Genomic DNA, 27,377 nt, shown 5'->3' on the forward strand with positions numbered 1-27,377 from the left:
ATCCGAGGAGCCATGGTCAAATTCTCTGGGTATTTAAGATGCCTAGACTCTTTGCTCCAGCACCACAGGGCTCCAATTGTTGTATTTTATTTTAGTTATTGTGCCTGTTTTCATAGCTCTTCTGCCTCCTCCCATGTTATCAACTCACTTCTTAATCCTTCAGTCTATCCAAATCAAACAAACTCTATTTGTTTTGTTTTGTTTTGTTTTTAAGGGACAAGATCTCATTATGTCACTCAGGCTGTAGTGTAGCGGCACAATTCTGGCTCACTGCAACCTTGAACTCCTGGCCTCAAGTGATCTTTCAGCCTCAGTCTCCCGAGGAGCTGGAACTACAGACGGAACGTACCATCAGGCCTAGCTAATTTTTCATTTTTTATTTTTATTTTTTTTATAGAGACAGGGTTTCACCATGTTGCCCAGGCTGGTCTTAAATTCCTGGCCTCAAGTGATCCTCCCACTTTGGCCACCTAAAGTGATGAGATTACAGGCTTTAACCACTGCACCTGGTCCCTATCTTTATTCGTATGTGTTTGGGAGGCAGATAACAGTTTTACCTCCCCAAAGCACCACAGTGCTTATTATTATCTATGAACATTGATGCCTTACTACCCAGTCTCCTCCACTAAACTAAAATTCCAGGTCCATTTTATTGTCCTCTCTGCACCTGGTGCCTAGCACAGAGCCCAGCATATTCACATGTGCTGAAGAATTATCTAGCTTCTTAAGCATCATATAAAATAAGCATTATTAGTCATAGAAAAAGTATAAGCTCCAATTCACTGGTTTAGCGATGCCTATTTTCCTAGGTTTCTTTTCTGATTCCTAGATGTGATTGACAGAGCTTAGTTCTACTAAGCATGCTGTATTTAGATGAAGTAAGAAGTGACTGGCATTTGTGGAGGGACTGTGTCCTTTTTTGCAGTAATTAGAGGTTGTTGGCACATCCAGTCTTTGAGACTGTTTTCCTTACGGCTCCCTTTTCGTAGACAGTTGCAGCATGAGAAGCTGAAGGAATTTTATGAAGTAGACATTGGAGCCTCCCAGTGATTGCCCCTTCGGGGTTTTGCAGCAGGCATATGCTATTTGCTTGGTCCAGAGTGAAGCGCCTCTACTTTTCTGGAGAACTGTTCCTTCCCAGCTACAATAAGGAGGCTCAAGGCAGAGCGGGTGTCATTCATTTGTTTAATGTAGTTGCTGTCTTGGTATCCATTTTTAGTCCTAATAAAAGTTATTTGAAACCCGGTTGTACCATGTGTCACTTTGGGCCTAATTAAAACTTCCCCTACCCATGGGGTTGTTTGCAGCATAACCCACTTGTTCCTCATCCCACTGACCAAAAATCTAACACACCCACAGCTACTGACCATGAGAAAACCAATGATCAACACCAGAGTCATGGAAATGAGCTCCCCTTCACGCATGATTTCTTTAAAGGAGCCAACCTGCAGCTTCCCTGCAGGAGAGTCTGAAAAACTCCCAGGAATTTAACAAAGGCAGAGTCTCACAGGCCTCAGGCCTCTCTCTTCCCTGCTGTCTGAGCTTCCTGCCTCCTCCAGACCTCCTGCTGTCCTCTCAGCAACACCTCGAACCTCTCTGTGACTTATAAGTAATGAATTCCTTCTGTTTCAGGCATTTTGGTTTCACCTCCTCAGTGTGTTTCATCTGACAGACACACCCAGGCCCAACATCCCCCTGGTCAGAGTGCTCCTACAGATGGCTCTCTTGGCTTATGGTCACTCTTAAGAGGGTAAGACCCTCTTACCCTCTTAAGAGTTATGTGATTTGTATCATTATGGTTTCCTGTTTGTAAAAAAAAAAAAAAAAAAACAGGAAACCATAATGATACAAATCGCAACAGCAGGATCACACTGCCTGGCTAAAGGCAATTGCTTTGCAGTGAACACGTAACTTAAGCCATGTCAATTAAGGTTTTTCCCTGGAACTTTTGGAAATAAAGCCATGGAAAGAGATTCTTGCAAGGTAAGGGTGGCAACCATGTTTTCCTCCATGAAAGCAAAAATGAACAACTTAAAACAACGAAGTTGAGATGCAGAGAGGAGTAGAGATGAGAGGGCATGGTGACTGAGCTCAAGTCCCTAGGGGTCCAGCACCACCATTCCCCGCCGTGGAATCTGACTGCAACACCTCTAAGTCACAGGAATGCCACTCTGCTGCACCTAGCATCTGCAACCAGAGGATTCCTCAGTGCAGAAAACACAGGAGATTTAGAGAAGCCCATGGAGGACAGACCTCTGATATATAATTAGAGAAAAGCCAATGGTTTAGAGCTCATTCCTCATCTGGGAAATCTGTTGCCATGAACCAAAACCAAAATGAGCTTTAGGGAGTGATTTTATGGGTTAAATCCCAGAGTCTGAAACAAGGAAGCGAGCAGCCCCCTCCCCTGCTGCCCTCTTCAAAGCCTCCTGTGTCACAGCTCTCAGGCTAAGCCTCTGTGCTGAAACATTACACCATTTCAGAGAGTAAATCTGGCTCTAGAGCAGGGTCTCAGCCCAGCATAGGAAGTGTTTCCTAAAAAGCACAGCTTCCCTCTAGGGGCTACTTTATAAGGAGATAAGCCTCCTGCAGTGTATGGGGAGTACTCCAGGAGAGTTGTCGGGATATGGGGGAATCACAGAGGAAATGCTAAACAAATTGTTTGTGATTTGCTTTGCTAGTTCTGCTCACTTCCAAGAGTCTGTGATTCTTGGCTTCAGTCACAAGGGCAAGTCAGTTGGGCAAATTCAAAACAAATGTCAAAACCATTATCTGGTGAGGGAGTTGGTGATTTCTCTTCTGCTCTTAATGAAACCTCCACCCTGTTTTCCTGAAGGTACAGTTCGTCCCATCCTTCCCTCCCCTTCCCTGGCTGGAAGAGGCAGCCTCCCTCCTCCCATTGCCCAGGAGGTACTCTGCCAATATCAGCAACCCCCACTGTCATTTCTGTGCAAATCCCCTATCATCCCAGTAATCTGGCCAGCCCTACACATCAGTCAGCCTTGTATAGCTCGGGTTCACCAGGGAGCAGGCTCTAGAGCTCTGGATGAACACCTGCCTATGTCTTGGCTCTGAAACTTGCACCTGCTCTATAAGTAGATGACCCCGCCCCTGCAGACATGGGTCTGTGTGCGGCTGACATGCACAACCTGGAAAGCCATGGAGGCCCTGCCTTAGTCACTAAGGCTGAGGGCAAGGGTTCCTATAATCCCAGGACAAACCTTGTAGGTATCCAGTGGGATAACCTGTAAGTATTTCAGCTTCTCCCATCTGCAGCTATTAACCCTTGAAGTGCAACAGTAAATGGAGGAAATCGGCCAGGAAAGAGGAGACCACAGTGTGGATTCTTGAAGGCCTTCACGTGGGGAGGGATACAAGGCTCTAATAACATGCATCAGATGTGGATACTGATCATTCACACTACAGATTATTTCCATCAGTACTTCTTTTTTGATGCCAGAAATTACATTTGGAGCCTGGCTGAGACTCTGATGTGCCAGTCTTTATAAATGTTGATGTTCAGTCAGAATGGCTATTATTAAAAAGTCAAAAAAACAACAGATGCTGGTGAAGCTGCAGAGAAAAGGGAACACTTATATACCATTGTGGGGACGTAAATTAGTTCAGTCACTGTGGAAAGCAGTTTGGAGATTCCTCGAAGAAGTAAAAATGGAACAACCATTGGACCCAGCAATCCCATTACTGGGTATCTACCCGAAGGAAACTAAATTATTCTACCGAAAAGACACATACACTCATATGTTCATTGCAGCACAATTCACAATAACAAAGACATGGAATCAAGTTGGGTGTCCACCAGTGTTGAATGGGATAAAGAAAATGTGGTAAAAGATGAAAATGTGGTATCCTCTGTGACCATAAAATAAAACGGTACTAATTTAAAAGTCAATAGACTAATTTAGAAGTCAGTAGATGCCATGAGTCCCCATTCATCCCTGTGCTGAAAATTATGACTTCATTCCTCTCTCTTGCATTCTGCATTCTACTTCTTCTTTTTCTTCTTTTGTTTTTGAGAGGATCAGTGTAATCTTTATTAAATTTATTTTTAATTATTATGGGTACATAATAGTAGCATATGTTTATAAAGTACATGTGATGTTTTGATACAGGCACACATTGTGTAATGATCAACTTAGAGCAATCGGAGCAAACACCACCTCAAGCCTTTATCATTTCTTTGTGTTAGGAACATTCCAATTCCACTGTTCTAGTTATTTTAAAATATGCAATAAATTATTGCTAACTATAGTCACCCTGTTGTGCTACTGAATATTGAATCTTGTACATTCTCTTTAACTGTATTTTTGAATCCATTAACTTTCCCTTTTTTTGTTGTTTTTTGTTTGTTTGTTTGTTTGTTTTTGAGACAGTCTCACTCTGTCGCCCAGGCTGGAGTGCAGTGTCACGATCTTGGCTCACTGCAAACTCTGCCTCCCAGGTTCAAGCGATTCTCCTACCTCATCCTCCTGGGTAGCTGAGATTACAGGTGTTCACCACCACGCCCAGCTAATTTTTACTATTTTTAGTAAAGACATGGTTTCACCATGTTGGTCAGGCTGGTCTCAAATGATCCTCCCACCTCATCTCCCAAAGTGCTGTGATTACATGCATGAGTCATCGCGCCCGGCCTAACCTTCCCCTCTTTATCCTTCCCCCACTTCCCAGCCTCTGGCAACCATCATTTCACTCTCTGTCTTCATAAGTGCAATTTTTTTTTCAGCTCCTTCAAATGGTGAGAACCTATGATATTTTCCTTTCTGTTTCTGGCTTATTTTATTTAACAGAATATCCCCCAATTCCATCTATGTTGTTGCAAATGACAGAGTTTCATTCTCTCTTGGCTGGATAATATTCCACTGTTTCTATGCCCCGCATTCCCTTCATCCATTCAACTGCAGACGTGCTCCACTTGCTCTGAGTCATCCTCCCTGTGTCACCTCCCGTGTGCTTCAGAATAGATGTTGTTGGCTCCACGTCCTCATTCTACCCACGTCAGCTGTCCCTGCTGACAGCAAGTTTCTGCCGGGGTGCCCCACATGTCTAAGCCCCTGTGTTGGCTCGGGGTCTCAGGGTTTAATGACATGTGCTTAGGTTGCCAATGGCCAGTGGAAGCAGAGCCCAGACACGCCTCAGGATCTTCTCCAGTGCCTGCATCCACATTGCCAGAGACAGCTCACCCCAGCCACCATGACCAGTGCAGAGCTCCCCACGCCTCAGCATCTAGCATCCAGGCCCAACTGCTCCAACCAGGCCAAGTATGGGTCTCCTCCCTGACACCTACTTTTCATGGCAGAACACCTACTTTTCACGGGAGGAACTCTCGTCTCTCTCTCTCATCAGGCTGTGATAACGCCTCATGGCCCCAGAAGTCCAAAGTCTGGTTGTTGTAGCATGGATATGGGTTTGCTCTAAATCTCTGGTTAAAATGTGACCTCCAATGTTGGAGGTGGGGCCTGGTGGGAGGTGTTTGAGTCATGGGGGTGGATCTTTCATGAGTGGCTTGGTGCCCTCCCTAAAGTAATGAGTGAGTTCTCACTCTATGTGTTCATGAAACAGCTGATTTCTTAGAGGAGCCTGGCACCTCCTCCAGCTCTCTTGCTGCCTCTCTCACCATGTGACATGCCTGTTCCTCCTCCACCTTCTGCCATGAGTAAAAGCTTCCTGCACCCTCACCAGAAGCTGAGCAGATGCTGGTGCCATGATTATTGTACAGTTTGCAGAACCATGAGCCAAATAAACCTCCTTTCTTTATAAATTACCCAGTCTCAAGTATTTGTTTAGCAACACAAAATACACTAATACACTGGGTAACTTCATAGTCAGCAGATGACCACCCTTTTGTCTCATTCCCTCTCTTCCCAATCATTCCAGATACTTTTACATCTGTCCTTCAAACCATGGCTGGAGTACTGTGGGACTCAAAATCGATAAATAATTAATAGATTCTAAATTCTGTGTGAAAAGAGAGCTAATAACTAGCATAATCTTAGGAACATGCTAGAAATGGCCCTAGCAGAGATGGGGCAGAGGGCAGTATGTTTTTGAAGGGAGTGAAGGGGAAGACAGCCAGAGCAGTGCATGAGGGAACCCCCAGGACAGGGGTCAGGACAATGGGAGAGAGGGGAGCCATGAAGGGCACACTTTGCTTTCTCCACTCCTGAGGGCTATCTCTGAATTTTGCTCTCCATTTAGCTGAGAGTGTGAAATTGAGAATTCATAAAATCACTTTTATTCCTTTAAATGGCCCTTATGAAAAGCTTTCAAGAGTCATCTCTAAATGTACTTTTCAGTTGCATTTTCATGAACAATATTCAAGGTCAGAATGAGCAAATGTCTAGTTAGCCATTGGAGAAAGGACCAGTAGCACACAGATATTTCCAGCATTCTAGAGACATGTAAAGTACCCTTGGAAGAGCCGGCATTTAACTTGTTGAACATTAAATGCCATTAATGCTCAGCTGCACAGAAATTTCCATTTCTGAATATTCTTCTCCAAATTTCTCCCTTGAACCATATTATTTTAGTTCAGCCTCAATTATACCATCAAAATTCCACCATTCATAAATGTATTACCATTCTGAAAATGTACTTGATGGCATCTTTATACCATGCTGTGGAAAAATGTGTAGCAATAAAAAAAGATAAATCACAAGGTTTTTTTTTTTTTTGGAGCCAATTAGCCAAACAAAACTTAAATATAAATCAAGCTTGGTAGAAACCACAGGTCATGCTCAAGTTTATGAATTCGTTATAGAGCAGCACTGCCTTGAATTCAACCTTGCCTAGCTTTGGTCTTGACCACAGCATCACAAGAGTGGTAATAATATCAGTAGGTTTACTGACATGCACAAGCATATTCCCAGGTTGCAGTGCAGGACCCGAGGTAGAGCCGAGACTCCCCAAAAAGGCAGTTCAGAGGTAGGCACGCCCAGTGGGTCTGCATCAGAGCCCCTGCGTCTGGTTCAGGGACTGAGATGAGTTTCTCGGCTTCCCTGAGATGTAATATTTTTACCTATCAAATCAAAATTACTGTAACTTCTGCCTCACTGATTGTTTTTGTTAGAATTCAATAAAGAAATGTCTCAAAGCAGTCACACGGTACCTGATACGGTGAACACTCCATATGTTGTTCTTTATTATATATACACACACTAAGTTATATACATAAATACATTAAAAATTAATTTATATTTTTCATAACTATAATTTATATTTATTCATAACTATAATCACATAATTCAATTATATGTAATAGATAATTTTATAGTTATATAATGTGTGTGTGTGTGTGTGTGTGTGTGTGTTTGTTTAAAATGTCCTTGGAAAACAGAAGCAGGTAGAGATGGGAGGAGACAGGCATTGTTCTTCGGGCTGGGCTGGCATCCAGGGGGCCTCTCTGGCCAGCCAATTGCACATCTTCTGAGCAAGGGAGAGGGAACATGGACCAGAGAACAGCCATTGGAAGAGAAAAGCAGAAAAGAAATTATTTTCAGTTTTCCCGAATTTCTTTCCAAAGTCATTTCAAAGACTAGGAGTGAAGGCTGAGGCTGGGTCTGGGACCCCCAAACTTCCCAGCCACTCTGTGACAAAGGCAGGTTCGAGACGATTATTCCCTCTGCACAAACAAGGAAACTTAGGGTGAAGGAGGAGCTCAGGAGGAGTTAGCAGGGAAACCTGGCACAGACCAAGGCCCTCTAATGCCCACAGTGTGCCGCACGATTGGCCCTCACCCCACACCCCTGAGGCTCCGTTTTCACCCCATGTCCTATAGCTAGCCCTGCTGGCTTCCCTGTGGTTTCCATACTCCAGGTAAGCTCAGGCAGTGGGGCTTTTGCTCCTGTTGTCCCCTCTGTGGAAACTCTCTTTTTTCAGAGAGCCCCACAGCTTACTCCCTCATGTGGGTTGGTTCTGTGTCCCACCCAGATCTCATTTTGAATTGTAATCCTCACATGTTGAGGGAGGGACCTGGTAGAAGGTGATTGGATCATGGGGGTCATTTCCCCCATGCTGTTCTTGTGATAGTGAGGGAGTTCTAACAAGATCTGATGGTTTAAAAGTGTTTGGCAGTTCCCCGCTTACTCTTTCTCTCTTGCCACCATGTGAGGAAGGTATTTGCTTCCCCTTCACCTTCCTCCATGATTGTAAGTTTCCTGAGGCCTCCTTAGCCATGTAGAACAGTGAGTCAATTAGACTTTTTCTCTTCATTAATTACTGTCTCAGGTAGTTCCTTATAACAGTGTGAAAACAGACTAATGCACTCCCCACCTTCATCCAGGTGTTTGCTTCAATGTAACTCTATGTGAGAGGCCTTCCTGGCCCATATCATCTGAATAGCACCCCCATTATTTTCTATCTCCAATACTGTTTTCTTTTTCTCTCTTTTCACCACCCAACTCATAATAAGGTGATTGTCTACACCACCCATCCACACCAACTGTAATGTAAGTTCTAGGAGGGAAGGAACATTATTTTATTCTTTGCTATATTCGGTGCATGGAACAGTGCCTGGCATTAATAAAAATATTTTGGGTGTAAAAACTCTAGGCTTAGAAGCCTGATCCTAAAATCTGTTCTGCCTAAGTTCTGTGTACTCTATCAGAGACCTGAACATTGGTGGGTACCTGGCTGCTATGGCCAGCCAACCATATGTTTTATACCAGTGAATGTGGTGTCTGGAAAATGGGTTGAGCTCTTTTCTCTTTTTCATTTATCTTGGGCATTGCAAGACTTTGATCTACTGGATTCAACAAAAGAACACTTTGACCCTATGTTTATAAGTAAAAATGCTTTGGTCAAAATTATTCCAACTCTGGTGAAATTTAATTTGAAAGCATTTTCCAAAACCAATTCCACAAGCCATTTTGATTTGTTAGTGCTCAGTTAATGTTATCAGGTATTTGGCTGAAACCACCTATATAACAGTTAACATAGGACCACAGAGTAAAAGTTGCAGGCATAGTTAAAAGTTAACCAGCCATTGTTTCTAAGCTCATCCCATAATTGCTTACTGCCCAGAAGCCATGTAGCCAGTGGTCACAAGGGCTGTAACTTCTCCTAATTGCTCTTATAGATAGCATCATTGTTGAAAACAAATGCTTAGTGCTACAAAGAAGAACCAGCACTGAGACAAAGGATCTCTCAGCAAGGCAAATTTTCTTCTGCAGAAGGGTGCTTCTCCCATGTGGAGCAATGGAAAGAGCACAAAGAACAAAACAGAGCAGGGGTTTTTATTATCTCTTAACGCTGCTTGTCACTGTTACTGTGTCTGCCTCCATTGGCTAGAGTTGTACCACACAGTCTAAGCTGAACCTGGTTGGTTAACTTGAAAAATGCAGAAATGTAGTTACATCAGCAGTGGGAAGACAAGAAGATCAGTTTCAGTGGGAGAAGTCATTGCATTGGGAGGGGTAATTCACAGAGTGGGTAGCAGATGTGGAATGTGGGCTCTATAGATAAGGACTGGCAGGAATGTTGTTTACCAGGGCTGGGGGAATATAGAGAGTAAGGAAGTCTGGCCTTGAAATCAGGGAACAAAGGACAAGAAAACTTAAACAAGCTAAACCTTTGAAGAAGAATTTCTTACTGTAGTCAATGATCATTATTGTAAAACCTATGACTGTTCTTCAAAATATTTTTCAGACTTGTCAACCACTGTACCAAATGGCACTGACTGGACCAAGGGCCCATTCCAAGAAATTGATTCAACAGGCTGACACCCCTGCCCAACCCAGAAACTGGATTAGTGCAAGACAATCAATACTCTACACCCCTATGAGTTCATCCCTAGCCAATCAGCAGCTCTAATTCCCTAGACCCCTGCCCACCAAACTACCTTAATAATCCCAGCCTCTAAGTTCTTAGGAAGGTAGATTTGAGAGATTTCTCCTGTCCTCCTTGCTTGGCTCTCTTGCAATTATTAAACTCTTTCCCTGCTGTAACACCTACTGTCTCAGTGTATTGTTTTTCTCTGGGCAGTGGGCAAGAAGAATCCACCAGGCTGTACATTGTAACCACCCTTTCCCTTGCCCCTTAGGCCTCAGGACAGCAGTGTTCCTCACTGTTGCTAGCTCAGGGGTTCTATGCCATCTTTTGTTAATTTTATTTAAGCCTACTCACACTTTTGTAAATAGTTCTTTCCTTAAACCCTCTTCAATTACCTAGTTTGCATGTGTTAACCACTTCTTGCCTGCTGGTCCCAGACTTATATAGTTCATTTATTTATAATCAGTGAAGATACTTTCCTGCTTCCACATAAAACCCTAGGCAGTGACTTTTCTGTTCATTCTTAGGGGAAAACAAAAAACAAAAAAACTATGGGCAGTTTGAGTTAAAAACTAAGTCAAATTTGGAGGGAGGAGCCAAGATGGCCAAAGAGGAACAGCTCCGGTCTACAGGTCCCAGCGTGAGTGAGGCAGAAGATGGGTGATTTCTGCATTTCCATCTGAGGGACCGGGTTCATCTCACTACGGAGTGCCAGACAGTGGGTGCAGGTCAGTGGGTGCATGCACCGTGCGCAAGCCAAAGCAGGGTGAGGGATTGCCTCACTTGGGAAGCGCAAGGGGTCAGGGAGTTCGCTCTCCTAGTCAAAGAAAGTGGTGACAGAGGGCACCTGGAAAATCGGGTCACTCCCACCTGAATACTGAGCTTTTCCGACCGGCTTAAAAAACGGCACACCAGGAGATTATATCCTGCACCTGGCTCAGAGGGTCCTATGCCCACGGAGTCTCGCTGATTGCTAGCACAGCAGTCTGAGATCAAACTGCAAGGCGGCAGTGAGGCTGGGGGAAGGGCGCCTGCCATTTCCCAGGCTTGATTAGGTAAACAAAGCAGCCGAGAATCTCCAACTGGGTGGAGCCCACCACAGCTCAAGGAGGCCTGCCTGCCTCTGTAGGCTCCACCTCGGGGGCAGGGCACAGAGAAACAAAAAGACAGCAGTAACCTCTGCAGACTTAAATGTCCCTGTCTGACAGCTGTGAAGAGAGCAGTGATTCTCCCAGCACACAGCTGGAGATCTGAGAACGGGCAGACTGCCTCCTCAAGTGGGTCCGTGACCCCTGACCCCCGAGCAGCCTAACTGGGAGGCACCCCCCAGCAGAGGCAGACTGACACCTCACACAGCCAGGTACTCCAACAGACCTGCAGCTGAGGTCCTGTCTGTTAGAAGGAAAACTAACAAACAGAAAGGACATCCACACCAAAAACCCATCTGTACATCACCATCATCAAGGACCGAAAGTTGATAAAACCAAAAAGATGGGGAAAAAACAGCAGAAAAACTGGAAACTCTAAAAAGCAGAGAGCCTCTCCTCCTCCAAAGCAACGCAGTTCCTCACCAGCAACGGAACAAAGCTGGACGGAGAATGACTTTGACGAGCTGAGAGAAGAAGGCTTCAGATGATCAAATTACTCTGAGCTACGGGAGGAAATTCAAACCAAAGGCAAAGAAGTTGATAACTTTGAAAAAAATTTAGAAGAATATACAACTAGAATAACTAATACAGAGAAGTGCTTCAAGGAGTTGATGGAGCTGAAAACCAAGGCTCGAGAACTAAGTGAAGAATGCAGAAGCCTCAGGAGCCGATGCAATCAACTGGAAGAAAAGGTATCAGCGATGGAAGATGAAATGAATGAAATGAAGCAAGAAGGGAAGTTTAGAGAAAAAAGAATAAAAAGAAACAAGCAAAGCCTCCAAGAAATATGGGACTATGTGAAAAGACCAAATCTACATCTGATTGGTGTACCTGAAAGTGACGGGGAGAATGGAACCAAGTTGGAAAACACTCTGCAGGATATTATCCAGGAGAACTTCCCCAATCTAGCAAGGCAAGCCAACATTCAGATTCAGGAAATACAGAGAATGCCACAAAGATACTCCTGGAGAAGAGCAACTCCAAGGCACATAATTGTCAGATTCACCAAATTGCAGATGAAGGAAAAAATGTTAAGGGCAGCCAGAGAGAAAGGTTGGGTTACCCTCAAAGGGAAGTCCATCAGACTAACAGCAGATCTCTCAGCAGAAACTCTACAAGCCAGAAGAGAGTGGGGGCCAATATTCAACATTCTTAAAGAAAAGAATTTTCAACCCAGGATTTCATATCCAGCCAAACTAAGCTTCATAAGTGAAGGAGAAATAAAATACTTTACAGACAAGCAAATGCTGAGAGATTTTGTCACCACCAGGCCTGCCTTAAAAGAGCTCCTGAAGGAAGTGCTAAACACAGAAAGGAACAACCGGTACCAGCCACTGCAAAATCATGCCAAAATGTAAAGACCATCGAGACTAGGAAGAAACTGCATCAACTAACGAGCAAAATAACCAGCTAACATCATAATGACAGGATCAAATTCACACATAAAAATATTAACTTTAAATGTAAATGGACTAAATACTCCAATTAAAAGACACAGACTGGCAAATTAGATAAAGAGTCAAGACCCATCAGTGTGCTGTATTCAGGAAACCCATCTCATGTGCAGAGACACACATAGGCTCAAAATAAAGGGATGGAGGAAGATCTACCAAGCAAGTGGAAAACAAAAAAAGGCAGGGGTTGCAATCCTAGTCTCTGATAAAGCAGACTTTAAGCCAACAAAGATCAAAAGAGACAAAGAAGGCCATTACTTAATAGTAAAGGGATCAATTCAAAAAGAAGAGCTAACTATCCTAAATATATATGCACCCAATACAGGAGCACCTGGATTCATAAAGCAAGTCCTGAGTGACCTACAAAGAGACTTAGACTCCCACACATTAATAATGGGAGACTTCAAGGAGAACTACAACCACTGTCAACATTAGACAGATCAACAAGACAGAAAGACAACAAGGATACCCAGGAATTGAACTCAGCTCTGCACCAAGCGGACCTAATAGACATCTACAGAACTCTCCACCCCAAATCAACAGAATATACATTTTTTTCAGCACCACACCACACCTATTCCAAAATTGACCACATAGTTGGAAGTAAAGCTCTCCTCAGCAAATGTAAAAGAACAGAAGTTATAACAAACTATCTCTCAGACCACAGTGCAATCAAACTAGAACTCAGGATTAAGAATCTCACTCAAAACCACTCAACTACATGGAAACTGAACAACCTGCTCCTGAATGACTACTGGGTACATAATGAAATGAAGGCAGAAATAAAGATGTTCTTTGAAACCAACGAGAACAAAGACACAACATACCAGAATCTCTGGGACGCATTCAAAGCAGAATGTAGAGGGAAATTTATAGCACTAAATGCCCACAAGAGAAAGCAGGAAAGATCCAAAATTGACAACCTAACATCACAATTAAAAGAACTAGAAAAGCAAGAGCAAACACATTCAAAAGCTAGCAGAAGGCAAGAAATAACTAAAATCAGAGCAGAACTGCAGGAAATAGGGACACAAAAAACCCTTCAAAAAATTAACGAATCCAGGAGCTGGTTTTTTGAAAGGATCAGCAAAATTGATAGACCACTAGCAAGTCTAATAAAGAAAAAAAGAGAGAAGAATCAAATAGATGCAATAAAAAATGATAAAGGGGATATCACCACCGATCCCACAGAAATACAAACTACCATCAGAGAATACTACAAACACCTCTACGCAAATAAACTGGAAAATCTAGAAGAAATGGATAAATTCCTCAACACATACACTCTCCCAAGACTAAACCAGGAAGAAGTTGAATCTCTGAATAGACCAATAACAGGAGCTGAAATTGTGGCAATAATCAGTAGCTTACCAACTAAAAAGGGTCCAGGACCAGATGGATTCACAGCTGAATTCTACCAGAGGTACAAGGAGGAACTGGTACCATTCCTTCTGAAACTATTTCAATCAATAGGAAAAGAGGGAATCCTCCCTAACTCATTTTATGAGGCCAGCATCATCCTGATACCAAAGCCGGGCAGAGACACAACCAAAAAATAGAATTTTAGACCAATATCCTTGATGAACATTGATGCAAAAATCCTCAATAAAATACTGGCAAACTGAATCCAGCAGCACATCAAAAAGCTTATCCACCATGATCAAGTGGGCTTCATCCCTGGGATGCAAGGCTGGTTCAATATACACAATTCAATAAATGTAATCCAGCATATAAACAGAACCAAAGACAAAAACCACATGATTATCTCAATAGATGCAGAAAAGGCCTTTGACAAAATTCAACAACCCTTCATGCTAAAAACTCTCAATAAATTAGGCATTGATGGGACGTATCTCAAAATAATAAGAGCTATCTATGATAAACCCACAGCCAATATCATACTGAATGGGCAAAAACTGGAAGCATTCCCTTTGAAAACTGGCACAAGACAGGGATGCCCTCTCTCACCACTCCTATTCAACATAGTGTTGGAAGTTCTGGCCAGGGCAATTAGGCAGGACAAGGAAATAAAAGGTATTCAATTAGGAAAAGAAGAAGTCAAATTGTCCTTGTTTGCAGACGACATGATTGTGTATCTAGAAAACCCCATTGTCTCAGCCCAAAATCTCCTTAAGCTGATAAGCAACTTCAGCAAAGTCTCAGGATACAAAATCAATGTACAAAAATCACAAGCATTCTTTTACACCAACAACAGACAAACAGAAAGCCAAATCATGAGTGAACCCCCATTCACAATCGCTTCAAAGAGAATAAAATACCTAGGAATCCAACTTACAAGGGATGTGAAAGACCTCTTCAAGGAGAACTACAAACCAGTGCTCAAGGTAATAAAAGAGGATACAAACAAATGGAAGAACATTCCATGCTCATGGGTAGGAAGAATCAATATCGTGAAAATGGCCATACTGCCCAAGGTAATTTACAGATTCAATGCCATCCCCATCAAGCTACCAATGACTTTCTTCACAGAATTGGAAAAAACTACTTTAAAGTTCATATGGAACCAAAAAAGAGCACACATCGCCAAGTCAATCCTAAGCCAAAAGAGCAAAGCTGGAGGCATCAGGCTACCTGACTTCAAACTATACTACAAGGCTATAGTAACCAAAACAGCATGCTACTGGTAGCAAAATAGAGATATAGATCAATGGAACAGAAGAGAGCCCTCAGAAATAATGCCGTATATCTACAACTATCTGATCTTTGACAAACCTGAGAAAAACAAGCAATGGGGAAAGGATTTCCTATTTAATAAATGGTGCTGGGAAAACTGGCTAGCCATATGTAGAAAGCTGAAACTGGATCCCTTTCTTACACCTTATACAAAAATAAATTCAAGATGGATTAAAGACTTAAACGTTAGACCTAAAACCATAAAACCCCAGAAGAAAACCTACCATTCAGGCATTACCATTCAGGACATAAGCATGGGCAAGGACTTCATGTCTAAAACACCAAAAGCAATGGCAACAAAAGCCAAAATTGACAAATAAGATCTAATTAAACTAAAGAGCTTCTGCACAGCACAAGAAACTACCATCAGAGTGAACAGGCAACCTACAAAATGGGAGAAAATTTTCGCAACCTACTCATCTGACAAAGGGCTAATATCCAGAATCTACAATGAACTCAAACAAATTTACAAGAAAAAAACAAACAACCCCATCAAAAAGTGGGTGAAGGATATGAACAGACACTTCTCAAAAGAAGACATTTATGCAGCCAAAAAACACATGAAAAAATGCTCACCATCACTGGCCATCAGAGAAATACAAATCAAAACCACAATGAGATACCATCTCACACCAGTTAGAATGGCGATCATTAAAAAGTCAGGAAACAAGAGGTGCTGGAGAGGATGTGGACAAACAGGAACACTTTTACACTGTTGGTGGGATGGTAAACTAGTTCAACCATTGTGGAAGTCAGTGTGGCAATTCCTCAGGGATCTAGAACTAGAAATACCATTTGACCCAGCCATCCCATTACTGGGTATATACCCAAAGGACTATAGATCATGCTGCTATAAAGACACATGCACACGTATGTTTATTGCGGCATTATTCACAATAGTAAAGACTTGGAACCAACCCAAATGTCCAACAATGATAGACTGAATTAAGAAAATGTGGCACATATACACCATGGAATACTATGCAGCCATAAAAAATGATGAGTTCATGTCCTTTGTAGGGACATGGATGAAATTGGAAATCATCATTCTCAGTAAACTATCGTAAGACCAAAAAACCAAACACCGCATATTCTCAATCATAGGTGGGAATTGAACAATGAGAACACATGGACACACGAAGGGGAACATCACACTCTGGGGACTGTTGTGGGGCAGGGATGGGGGAGGGATATCATTGGGAGATATACCTAATGCTAGATGACTAGTTAGTGGGTGCAGTGCACCAGCATGGCACATGTATACATATGTAACTAACCTGCACATTGTGCACATGTACCCTAAAACTTAAAGTATAATAAAAATAAATAAATAAATAAATAAATAAATAACTAAGTCAAATTTCATTAGGTAAAACTGCCCAGTCCCAACTAATAATCAAAGCTCCAAAGTTACTTAGCACTAAATATTTTTTCCCTTCCATAGCAAAGCCTAAAATTGCATACTAGCTACTTGCAAGGATGGGTCAGAGGAAGTCAAAAAAGGTGAAGAATATGTTCTTTCTCCATTTCATTATCTAGTATTTCTTCTTTCTCTGCAAATTGCTTATTAAATTTTCAAGCTCTACCTGAGTCAAAGAAGGAGATGAGAAGAAAAGAGATAATGATAAAAAAAAAAAAGTGTGAAACAAAAATAACATTCTAAGCCCCCCTTACTGACTGTACAGACCCTCTCTTGGCCAAGGGGATTCCAAAAAAGCCTGAAAAACTGAGAAAGGCCTTGTTGAGAAGGGAAGTCAGACATGCCTCATTGTACCACCTCTCTTTGGAGTTTAGTTCCAACTGACCAGCATTAACATTAAAACAGAAATCTTAACACTGACAAAACAGACTCTTTGTAGCAATAGGACAGCAAGTTTCAACTGGCTCTGGTATAGCATCACATGACAGATAACAGGTCCTAAAAGAAATCAAAGCATTTTATCCTGAAACATATGTATTTGATGTATTTTGAAATTGCCCTGCAAAGTTGTCACTTGTGGAAAAATTTGCATTCTGTAGAGAATCTCCTTCCCTTTATGTGTGTTTTCCTGATCCAGGAGGAGATGCAACTAAGAGTTTGACACCTTTTAAGGTTCATTAAAAAAAGAAACACTTACCATCTATTTTCTCTGAAGTCTGCTAGTTAGAGGCTTTATCTACATAACAAGAGCCTTGCTTTTATCTTCCCCTTAACTCAAGCATTTATTTTAGCTAACTTCAACTCTCTAGGCAAAGTTTAAATTTTTCAACCAATTGTCAATTAGAAAATATTTGAATCCACCTGTAAACCACTCCCCACCACACCCTGCTAGAAGATGTCCCACCTTCCTGGTTGAACCAATGTATATATCACATGGATTGATTCATGTCTTTGCTTGTAACTTCTGTCTCCCTGTAACGTAGTAAACCAAGGTATAACCCAATCACCTTGGCCACATGTTCTCAGAACAGCTTGATGCTGTATCCTGGGCAATGGTCACTTATATTTGGCTCAGTAAAAACCTCCTCAAATATTTTATAGAGTTTGTCTTTTCTCATCAACAGTGGTATTTACCTGACAAGTCTGATCCTCATCCATAGGAAACATTCATGTTTTTTCCACCTCAACAATGTCTGGAAGAACACATGTCCCTCATGCAGCAGCACCTCTTCTCCCCCCACTAAAGCAGCTATCCAGGCATGTTTTGTTCTCTACACTTCCCAGTGACCCCCTTACTATAGGGGCAGATATCAAACTTTTGGGGATGTGCCATTAAAGTCCCTTTCACCAGACAGGAGGAGAGACACACTTTCAAGGGCTTGGGAACTCATAGCTATGGAGAACACTAAAAGAAGGGGAATGGCAAGAGATGAGGGAAGAAGCAAACTCTACAGCACTCACCTCTTGCTGCTAACCTGCTGAGTCACTGCATGAATCAGAAAAGCCTGCAGCCAAGTTTGAGAGAGATATACCCAAATCATAACCCTCTTGGGGCTATGGCTTCTGAGCAGTAAGCAATTTAGAAAGGCAAGCTTAGAAACACTGGCTGGTTAACTTTTCACCTTGCCTGCAACTTTACAGGATTCAGGCCTTCACCATGGCATTTTCTCTGTTGCCCTATATGAATTTTTATATAACCCTCACAACCTTAACTGATCACCTTCATTTTTTGTCACTCTTATTTGACATATTTGACCTCAAATGCCAGTATTTAAAGCAACATTACACATTTTTCCTCCAATATCCTCATTTTACTGAAATTGGGGCTCACAGTGGCAGGATCACAGACAGGACATGTCAGGTAAACTGAATGTCCCAGGCCCCCTGAGCTTGTGCATCATCAGCCAGATTCACTCAAGAAAAAAGAAACCACACTAGTCCTGTAAACAGAAGGAATCTGACATAGGGAGCTGGTTAAACAGGCCTAGGAGACGGAACAAAAAGCCAAGAGGGAAGAGCAAGGGCACACTAAGACAGCAACTTCAGGGAGAAACTCTTCGCTCCCAGGCTGGGAGCAGAGGGAGGAAGTTGTGCTTACTAAGAGCCTGCAGCTTGGAGGAGAGATCATCAAGCTGGGAGCCAGCCTCATGAGGAGGAGGCTGGTGTTAGTGTCTCCAAGGGAATGTGATGAGGCTGGTTCTGGCACTGCAGAAAAACCTGGAAACAGGAACACAGCAACCAGCTTCCGTCACTGGGGTGAAGAAGTATTATTGGGTGATGTGAGCAGAACAAGAAAAAACAAAAAAACAAGTCCTGTCTTCCTCACCCAGCTCTCCAGTCTCCATCCAGCATCCTCTATTAGCAGAACTAACAGAGAGACCCATGGCAGAAGAGGAATGTGGTTTGCAGGTTCCAATCACAGCATCATGAAGCAAAGTATAAGACATGGTTTGCAGCTGGGAGATAACAGCTCAATAACTAGTAAAACATCCAGATGAGGCCAAATTAATGTTAATGCCCAAATTTTGCTAACTCATAGCACACACTGTCAAGAGAGCTATTTTCTTCCTCTGCCACATTCTTGCCAAGAGCCATGAAATAGAAACTTTTGACCTCTCAAAAGTTTTCAAAAGTAATCTTCTGGACTTTTCTCTACTCACTAACTAATTCCTTCACATCACAGCTTAGCCTGCATCTGGGAGCTTTTCAACCCAGCATGCCCTGAAGTCACATTCATGTTCTTTCCTTTGTTTATTGAGGAGCAAAGACCTACTGCAGTCCAGCTGCTCTGCCTGTATCTGGGTGGAAAATAAGCAAGACTCAAATCCAAGCATGTTCTACGAACCAACTTCAGCAACAATAAAGTGATACCTTGAATCTTTCTCACTCTTATGTGTATATCTCAATTCGTTCACAACTTGGAGAGGAAAAGAGATGAATGATTTCTCTCTGAAACATTTTATGCAAGCTTACATAAAAATGGACTGTCACCCACTGTGATAGTCCACTGTGTCACCACCACCCCTCCTCAGCCTCTCTGCCACAGGTCTGCCTATTATGTCTGGAAGGTTCTGGGATGCACACATTCTCAGTCCAGTCTCCAGGCTGAATGCAACCTCCCAGCAGCTACCTGAGGAGCTCATCTCAGCCTTCATGAGAACATGCTTCCTTGCCCAGAGCTCTGCTTCCCAATGTCCCACAAAAATTCCTGGGCTCCTTTTAGTCCCTTTCTACCAGAGTAATGCTGTGTTTCAGGCAAACATGGAAAATAGATATTTCTCCATCTGTGTGGACCTTGTTATCAGAGTCCAAACCATCTAGGCTGTGGCCCTGGTCTCCCAAAGCCCCCAGCTGAGTCCTTATTTTAGTATTGCTTAGAGAGAGAATAGATATCAAATTGTTCTCACCATCAGTTAGCACAGAGTAGCACATTTCTGACCACTGGAGCCCATGCTGGAACATCATCCTTGTGGGCCCCTTTCCCTCCCTATCAACTCATGCAAATTGACACCTGGGAAAGAAGTAGGATTACCAACCCCTCAATTTAAAAGACGTGATAAAGCTTTGAATCCCAGTTTGGGCTCAGCTGTTATCACCTTGTATCAAAATAATTTTTTAGTCCAGATTCTTTCAGTTACAAGTGTTAGAAATCTACCTAACTCAACTTCAGACAGCAAACTGAAGCTATGAGCTCATGAAAATGGATCCTGGTGCTCTTGCAGTACCATCAGGATTCAGTCTCTGCCAGGCTTCTCCTTAAGCTGCCTTCAGATTTAATAGACTCACATCGTGGTGGCAAAAATGTCACCAACAGCTTCAAAGTTCAATTTCTACCAGTTCAGTGACTCCAGCTAAAAAATAACTGTGCTATTCAAAACGTCCAACAAAAATCCCAGCTCTAAATATTATTGGACCAATCTGAGCCACATGGACATCCCTGAATTAATAAGCACTGTGACCTGGGGGGCGGACTAAACCAAGTGGCCATCCTTGAATCAAGCCATTCCCTCAAGAGACAGGAGTGGAACCAGCCAAGCTAGCCACAAAATAAAGCATGGACCTGGGTGGGCTCTACAAAGGGAAACTGCAGGACTTTAACCAGCGGAAGGGAAAGCAAATGCCAGACAAGCAGGACCACAGCTCTTCCTCAATGTTGTGGGAAATCAGGGACCCCAAACAGAGGGACCAGCTGAAGCCATGGCAGAAGAACGTGGATTGTGAAGATTTTATGGACATTTATTAGTTCCCCAAATTAATACTTTTGTAATTTCTTATGCCTGTCTTTACTGCAATCTCTAAACATAAATTGTGAAGATTTCATGGATACTTATCACTTCCCCAATCAATACCCTTGTGATTTCCTATGCCTGTCTTTACTTTAATCTCTTAATCCTGTCAGCTGAGGCGGATGTATATTGCCTCAGGACCCTGTAGTAATTGCATTAACTGCACAAATTGTACAGCATGTGTGTTTAAACCATATGAAATGTGGGAACCTTGAAAAAAGAACAGGATAACAGCAATTGTTCAGGGAATAAGAGAGAAAACCTTAAACTCTGACTGCCGGTGAGCTGGGTGGAACAGAGTCATATTTCTCTTCTTTCAAAAGCAAATGGGAGAAATATCGCTGAATTATTTTTCTCAGCATGGAACATTCGTGAGAAAGAGAATACGCGCCTGGAGGTATAGGATTATAAACAGCCCCCCAGGTGTGCCTGTCTCTTATGGTTGAGGCTGCAGAGATGAAATAAACTCCAGTCTCCCATAGCACTCCCAGGCTTATTAGGAAGAGGAAATTCCCACCTAATAAATTTTGGTCAGACCAGTTGATCTCAAAACCCTGTCTCCTGATAAGATGTTATCAATGACAATGGTGCCTGAAACTTCATTAGCAATTTTAATTTTGCCTCGGTACTGTGGTCCTGTGATCCCGCCCTGCCTCCAATTGCCTTGTGATTTTCTATTACCCTGTTAAGTACTTGATGTCTGTCACCCACACCTATTCGCACACTCCCTCCCCTTTTGAAAATCCCTATAAAAACTTGCTGGTTTTTGTGGCTTGTGGGGCATCACGGATCCTACCAATGTGTGATATCTCCCCCGGATGCCCAGCTTTGAAATTTCCCTCTTTTGTACTCTGTCCCTTTATTTCTCAAGCTGGCTGATGCTTAGGAAAAATAGAAAAGAACCTACGTGATTATCAGGGCAGGTTCCCCGATACTCCAATACCATGTATGTCCATCTTTTGACTAATTTTTGTGTCTTATATTTATATTACATTTACTTCTTATGTATTGTAATATGGAAGTTTCTTGGTAGTCCCCAAACTACTTAGCAAAAACCTGGCAAATGCTAGTTGATTAGGTTCTCAGAATTCTTTGGTACCCGTTGCCCTGTAAAAAATAAAACCTCTTTTGGGACTATGAAAACAGAGTGAGAGATAGCTGTATCTCTGAATGGCAAATGGGACAGTCAACTCCCTCAATTCAGAGAAAGTCTGGTTGCCAGAGGTTTTTAAAATTAAATATTCAGCCATGAGGAATTACACCAAAAGCAAAGCCTGAGAAAAGAAAGTAGGAATGGACATTTTGTTTGGGAGGTGATCTCAGGAAGCAGGAGTGTGGGAGCTGAGAGAGTGGTCAAAAGAATAAAGATTGACCAATATAAGGATGCACTGTTCAAGTCACTGCTGTGAGCAAAAGCAGCTCAGTTCTGCCGGGGCCTCTTGAGAGGCATGGAGAATGGCTCCCAGAATTATCATCTCAGGACAGGCAGTGTAGGCTTTTTTTCCAGTTCCTGTCCCTCATTGCTGAGGACTGCACCTTGAGGCAATAGTTCTTGAAACCCCACTTTTGGGCTGTAGCATCAGAGAAATGCTGAGTTGGAAATAGAGGCAAATAGCACAAGCTTCAGGTTGGTGACTGTCAGAGGAGACCCTGAGCCTGGGTGGAACTGTCTGCCATGGCCCCAGCTCTCACTGGAAGAGGGCTGAGGTGAGGTGGACAAAGGTACCAGGGTGCATGTTACAAGGTGTGCCCGCCTCAGGGAGTTCTGCCAGACCATTTCTCAGCCTGGGTCAGAGATGGACCCAGTTCAGATGGATAAAGGTGGCTGGATCAAGCTGCCATTCCTACTAAAACTGTTTAACTACATTAAAAATCACCACATTTCTGGTCTTGCCAGTACCATCTTCCTCCTCCAACAAACATGCATAGTTTTCAACCCATTTTAGGACAGATGTGTCATTTCACACCAGCTCTCAACATTGCATTCAAAACCTAACAGATATGCTTTGAGACTGGAGTAGCCACGGGTCAGGCATGGTAGAGACTCCATTACAGTGCCGCTCCCCCTGTGACCTCAGCATTGCTATCTTTTAGTGAAGCTGTAAGACTAGTAAAAGACAAACATGATTTTCTCCAGGCTTGTTTGCTCCTCTCTGGGTATGAGGCAGCAGCATATCAGAATGAAACAGAACTGGGGGCTACAACCCTAGAAAACTGAGCTCAATCAAACTGGAAAATACATATTCTCCAACCAAAGCCATAAGGTTCTCTTCTCAGATGCCAACAGCTGTGACAAATCTGCATTTCCCTTGTTTTCAGTCACTCTCTCTGGGCCCTCTTGGATCCCTTGCACACACCTCCATCAGCCTGCCTCTGGGAATTGTCAGCTGCAGTTAGTGGGACAGCTAGGCTGGGTCGAGAGAGGCAGCCCTCTCCAGAGCCACCAAAATCATCAGACAGTGAGAATGCAGCAGACACGGTCCTGCAGTAGATGTGGTCCTTCTCTGAAGGACTAAGTGGATTACCGAGAATGCTGGCCACAGGGAACTCTTGATGGCATTTGTGAAATGGTTACAAACACAAAACCTGCTGCCTTTATTTATGGTCAACCACTGAACATCTTTCCAAGCCTAGCCTGTAATCCTCAGTGCTAAAATAATAAGGTAGGCAAGCTGTGTTTCTTGATTCTAAGAGTCTATGATTCTGCCCTAGAAAACAAAGTTTATAGTTGCTGAGGCAGGATCCTCAGGGTTGGCTTTTCTCCCTACCCCTGATACATGACCAGTGAAAACCACAACTACAATTCTAAGCCCCCCAACTGACTGAATAGACTCCCTCTTGGCTAAGGAAATCCCAAAGAAACCCAAAAAACTAGTTCAGGCCATAGTGGGAAGGAACGGTCACACATGCCTTCCTTTGGAGTTTAGGTAAAACTGGCCAGCATTAACATTAGAACAGAAATCATAAGACTGACAAGATAGACCGTTTGTAGCAATAAGACACCAAATTCCAACCTGACTCAAGTAGAGCATTATAAAACAGCAGATGCTGCTTTGAAGAAAATCAAAGTGTTTTCTCTCTAAATATGTTTCTTTAACATATTTTGAAATGACCCTACAAAGATTTCTTTTGTGGGGGAAATTTGTATTCTGTAGAGAATCTCCTTCCCTTACTAGGTCTTTTCCAGAGAGTCTGACATCCTTTATTTATCATTTTTTTTCTTGAGATGGAGTCTCACTCTGTTGCCCAGGCTGGAGTGCGGTGGCACTATCTCAGCACACTGCAACTTCCACCTCCCAAGTTCAAGCCATTCTCCTTCCAAGTAGCTGGAATTAAAGGTGCCCACCACCACAACTGGCTAATTTTTGTATTTTTAGTAGAGACAGGTTTCACCATGTTGGACAGGCTGGTCTCAAACTCCTGACCTCAAGTGATCCACCCATCTCCGCCTCCCAAAGTGCTGGGATTACAAGCATGAGCCACCACGCCCAGCCTGACATCTTTTACCAACTACCCTCTCTGAAGTCTGCTACCTGGAGGCTTCATTTACATTGTAGGTACTTTGGCTTCCACAACCTCCTTTATCTAAATTCAAGCATTTTTTATTTTTTCTTTCCAACTTTTATTTTAGGCTCAAGGGTACATGTGCCAGTTTGTTACTGGGTAAATTTCATGTTGCAGGGGTTTGGTGTATAGAAAATTTTGTCACCCAGGTTATCAGCATCATACCAGATAGGAAATTTTTCAATCCTCACCCTCCTCCCACCCTCGACCCTCAAATAGGCCCCAGTGTTACTTGTTTCCTTCTTTGTGTTCATGTGTACTTAATGTTTAGCTCCCACTTTTAAGTGAGAACATGTGATATATGGTTTTCTGTTTCTCTATTAATTCACTTAAGATAATGGCCTCCAGTTCTATTCATGTTGCTGCAAAAGACATGATCTTGTTCTTTTTTTATGACTGTATAGTATTTCTTAATGTATATGTCCAGTCACTACTGATGGGCTTCTGGGTTGATTCTATGTCTTTACTACTGTGAGCAGTGCTGTGATGAACATACACATGCATGTGTCTTTATGGTAGGACAATTTACATTCCTTTGAGTATTAAGGCTGGCTTCAAGCTTTTCAGGCATAGGTTAACCTTTTCAACCTATTGCCAATCAAAAAAAAAATCTTTGAATCCATCTATGACCTAGAATCCCCTGGCTTCAAGACATCCTGTCTTTCTGGGTCAAACCGATGTATACTTTCCATGTATTGATTTATGTTTTTGCCTACATCTGTCTTACTAAAATTCATAAAACCAAACTGTAACCCAATCAATAGGTTCCCAGGACCTCCTGAGACTGTATCACAAACCATGGATCTTAACCTAGGAAAAAAAAAAACTCTAAATTGATTGAGATCTGTCTTAGATAGTTTTTGGTTTATACCAACAGCACATCCACCAGCTGTTTTTCTCACTAGGTCAACCAGTAAAATCAGTAAAATGCAATCACTTTCAATTTCCTCCTCACCCACAAATCTCTTCTTTGAGCAAAACTTTGCACGTCCACCATGTTGCTAAGACAGGCTCTTGAGGACTCCTCCCAAGGGGAGTAGCTAAGTCAGGTGTGGAGGCTAGCGAAGAGGCCTTTGGGGGCAAAGGGGGAATCTCCCTCTGTGGATAGATGCTGGGGTATGAGCACAGAGAAAAGCTGCCTCTTTTAGCCTATTTTTCCCCAATATCTGTTTTACTTTCATAACAATTCCTTAAACATTCTTTCATCACAGTCTTAACAATGACTTTATGAACAGGAATTCTTAAAAAATGTTTGCAATAATGTCACTTCTGAAGAATGTTCTCCTGCCTTCACCTGCCTTCCAGACTCCAACAAGCTTTGCTTCTGTCTCCCACCCACACGCACCACTAATGTCTCTTGTGAAAGGAAAATAAATCTTGAGGCCCCCAAATCACTAAGCTTAAGGAAAAAGTCAGGCTGGGAACTGCTTAGGGCCAACCTGCCTCCCATTCTACTCAAAGTCACCCCTCTGCTCCCCTGACCTAGATGCATATCTGATTTGTCTGCTTTTGGAAAGGCTAATCAGAAACTCAAAAGAATGCAACCATTTGTCTCACCTATCTGTGACCTGAAAGCCCCCTCCCCGCTTCATGTCTTCAAGTGTGCCACCCTTTGCTTCAAGTGTGCCACCTTTCCAGGCTGAAGCAATGTACTTTTTACATACATTGATTGATGTCTCATGTCTCCCTAAAATGTATAAAACTAAGCGGTGCCCCGACCACTTTAGGCACATGTCCTTAGGACTTCCTGAGGCTGTGTCACGGATGCGTCCTCAACCTTGGCAAAAGAAACTTTCTAAATTAACTGAGATCTGTCTCAGATTTTCTGGTTTTACACTCTGTTGTCTTAGTCTGAGCTCCTCAGAAGCAGACACTGAGATAATGTGTCCCTTGAGTGCAAGGGGAATATTGGAAAGACAATCTTAGGCAGCATTTGTAGATGAGTCGGGTATGAGACAGGAAGGGAAGGCAGCCGACACAGGGCACATTCAGGGATGGTGTGGCCTCAGGCAGCTGTGGCCCCATACCCTCAGGGGGACCTTTGGGAAATGATGTGACACACAGGACAGTCCCACAGTAGGGACAAGGATCTGAGGTGTTTCCCTACCACTCCTATTGGTTATCACTGAGGGTACTCCCCAGGGTGTCAGTGTCCTGAACTCTCAATTTACCCTGCTTATGATGCAGGAGAAAGCCTTCAGGTCTTGGAGAGTGACAGACACTCACAGAAATATACCAGGAACACATACAGGAAGCACCGAGGGGATCCAGGCAGGACACCAACCGCCTCTTCAAGTCCCCTAGCCTGCTGGTTTCAGCTGTGCCGTGGCTGTCACTCCTGTGAGCCCCACACCCTCCTGGAATCAGAAACTGCCTGCCATCTCTCTGTCTCTACAACACCCCTCAGAAGACTCAGTTCATAGCAGATGCTCAGCAAATGCTTTCAAAAGAAACAGAAGCAGTAGCATGAGGTAATTGTTGACCAAGAAAACTCAGAAAACATTTATTTGGGCAAGAAAGTAGAACGAAGAAACCCACCAATTCCTAGTGGAGGGGAAGAAGATTGGAGAGGGATCTTCAGGGCATGGCATAAAGCCTGTTCCGATGGAGAAACCAACCATCCTGATTCCCCCTTGCTGCCCTGGGAGCCACTTGGCATTAAAAGGTAGCTTTCCAGGGCAAAGACTTCCCCTGGAGAGACTGCAAAGATCTCCTGTCCTCCCTATAAGTCAGCAAACAGGCATGACTGTACGTTTTTGGTTTTGTCTGTGTCTTTCTGGTCTTCCCAGCCATCAGAGAAGAGAGGATTGGGCTTTCTTCCATTTAAGTTCTGGGCTGTAAAGGCACTTCCTGAGTAGGCCTGAGGGGCTGTGGTGAGAGAATAGGGCTTTGTGTAGAGGGGCAGCCTGGGTGGAGGCTGCCTGGGAAGCAGACTGTTGGGAGGGTGTGAGAAGGTGCCCTGCAGCACAGTTCTTGCCTGAAGACCTCCTGGCCCTCACCTGCTTCCCCACGTCTGCTACTAGCACTG

The 27,377-nt window shown here is 43.1% G+C and overlaps 2 annotated features.

Annotated features, from left to right (window-relative positions):
* Positions 1,338-2,047: an enhancer, noted in NCBI's record as "H3K27ac hESC enhancer chr19:28659458-28660167 (GRCh37/hg19 assembly coordinates)". NCBI's record gives its function as "activates a minimal SCP1, AML or CMV promoter by ChIP-STARR-seq in naive H9 embryonic stem cells {active_cell/tissue: H9 hESC(naive)}" and the evidence as "EXISTENCE:reporter gene assay evidence [ECO:0000049][PMID:30033119]".
* Positions 2,048-2,758: an enhancer, noted in NCBI's record as "H3K27ac hESC enhancer chr19:28660168-28660878 (GRCh37/hg19 assembly coordinates)". NCBI's record gives its function as "activates a minimal SCP1, AML or CMV promoter by ChIP-STARR-seq in naive H9 embryonic stem cells {active_cell/tissue: H9 hESC(naive)}" and the evidence as "EXISTENCE:reporter gene assay evidence [ECO:0000049][PMID:30033119]".

Source organism: Homo sapiens, chromosome 19, assembly GCF_000001405.40.
Source record: "Homo sapiens chromosome 19, GRCh38.p14 Primary Assembly".
Lineage (NCBI taxonomy): Eukaryota > Metazoa > Chordata > Mammalia > Primates > Hominidae > Homo > Homo sapiens.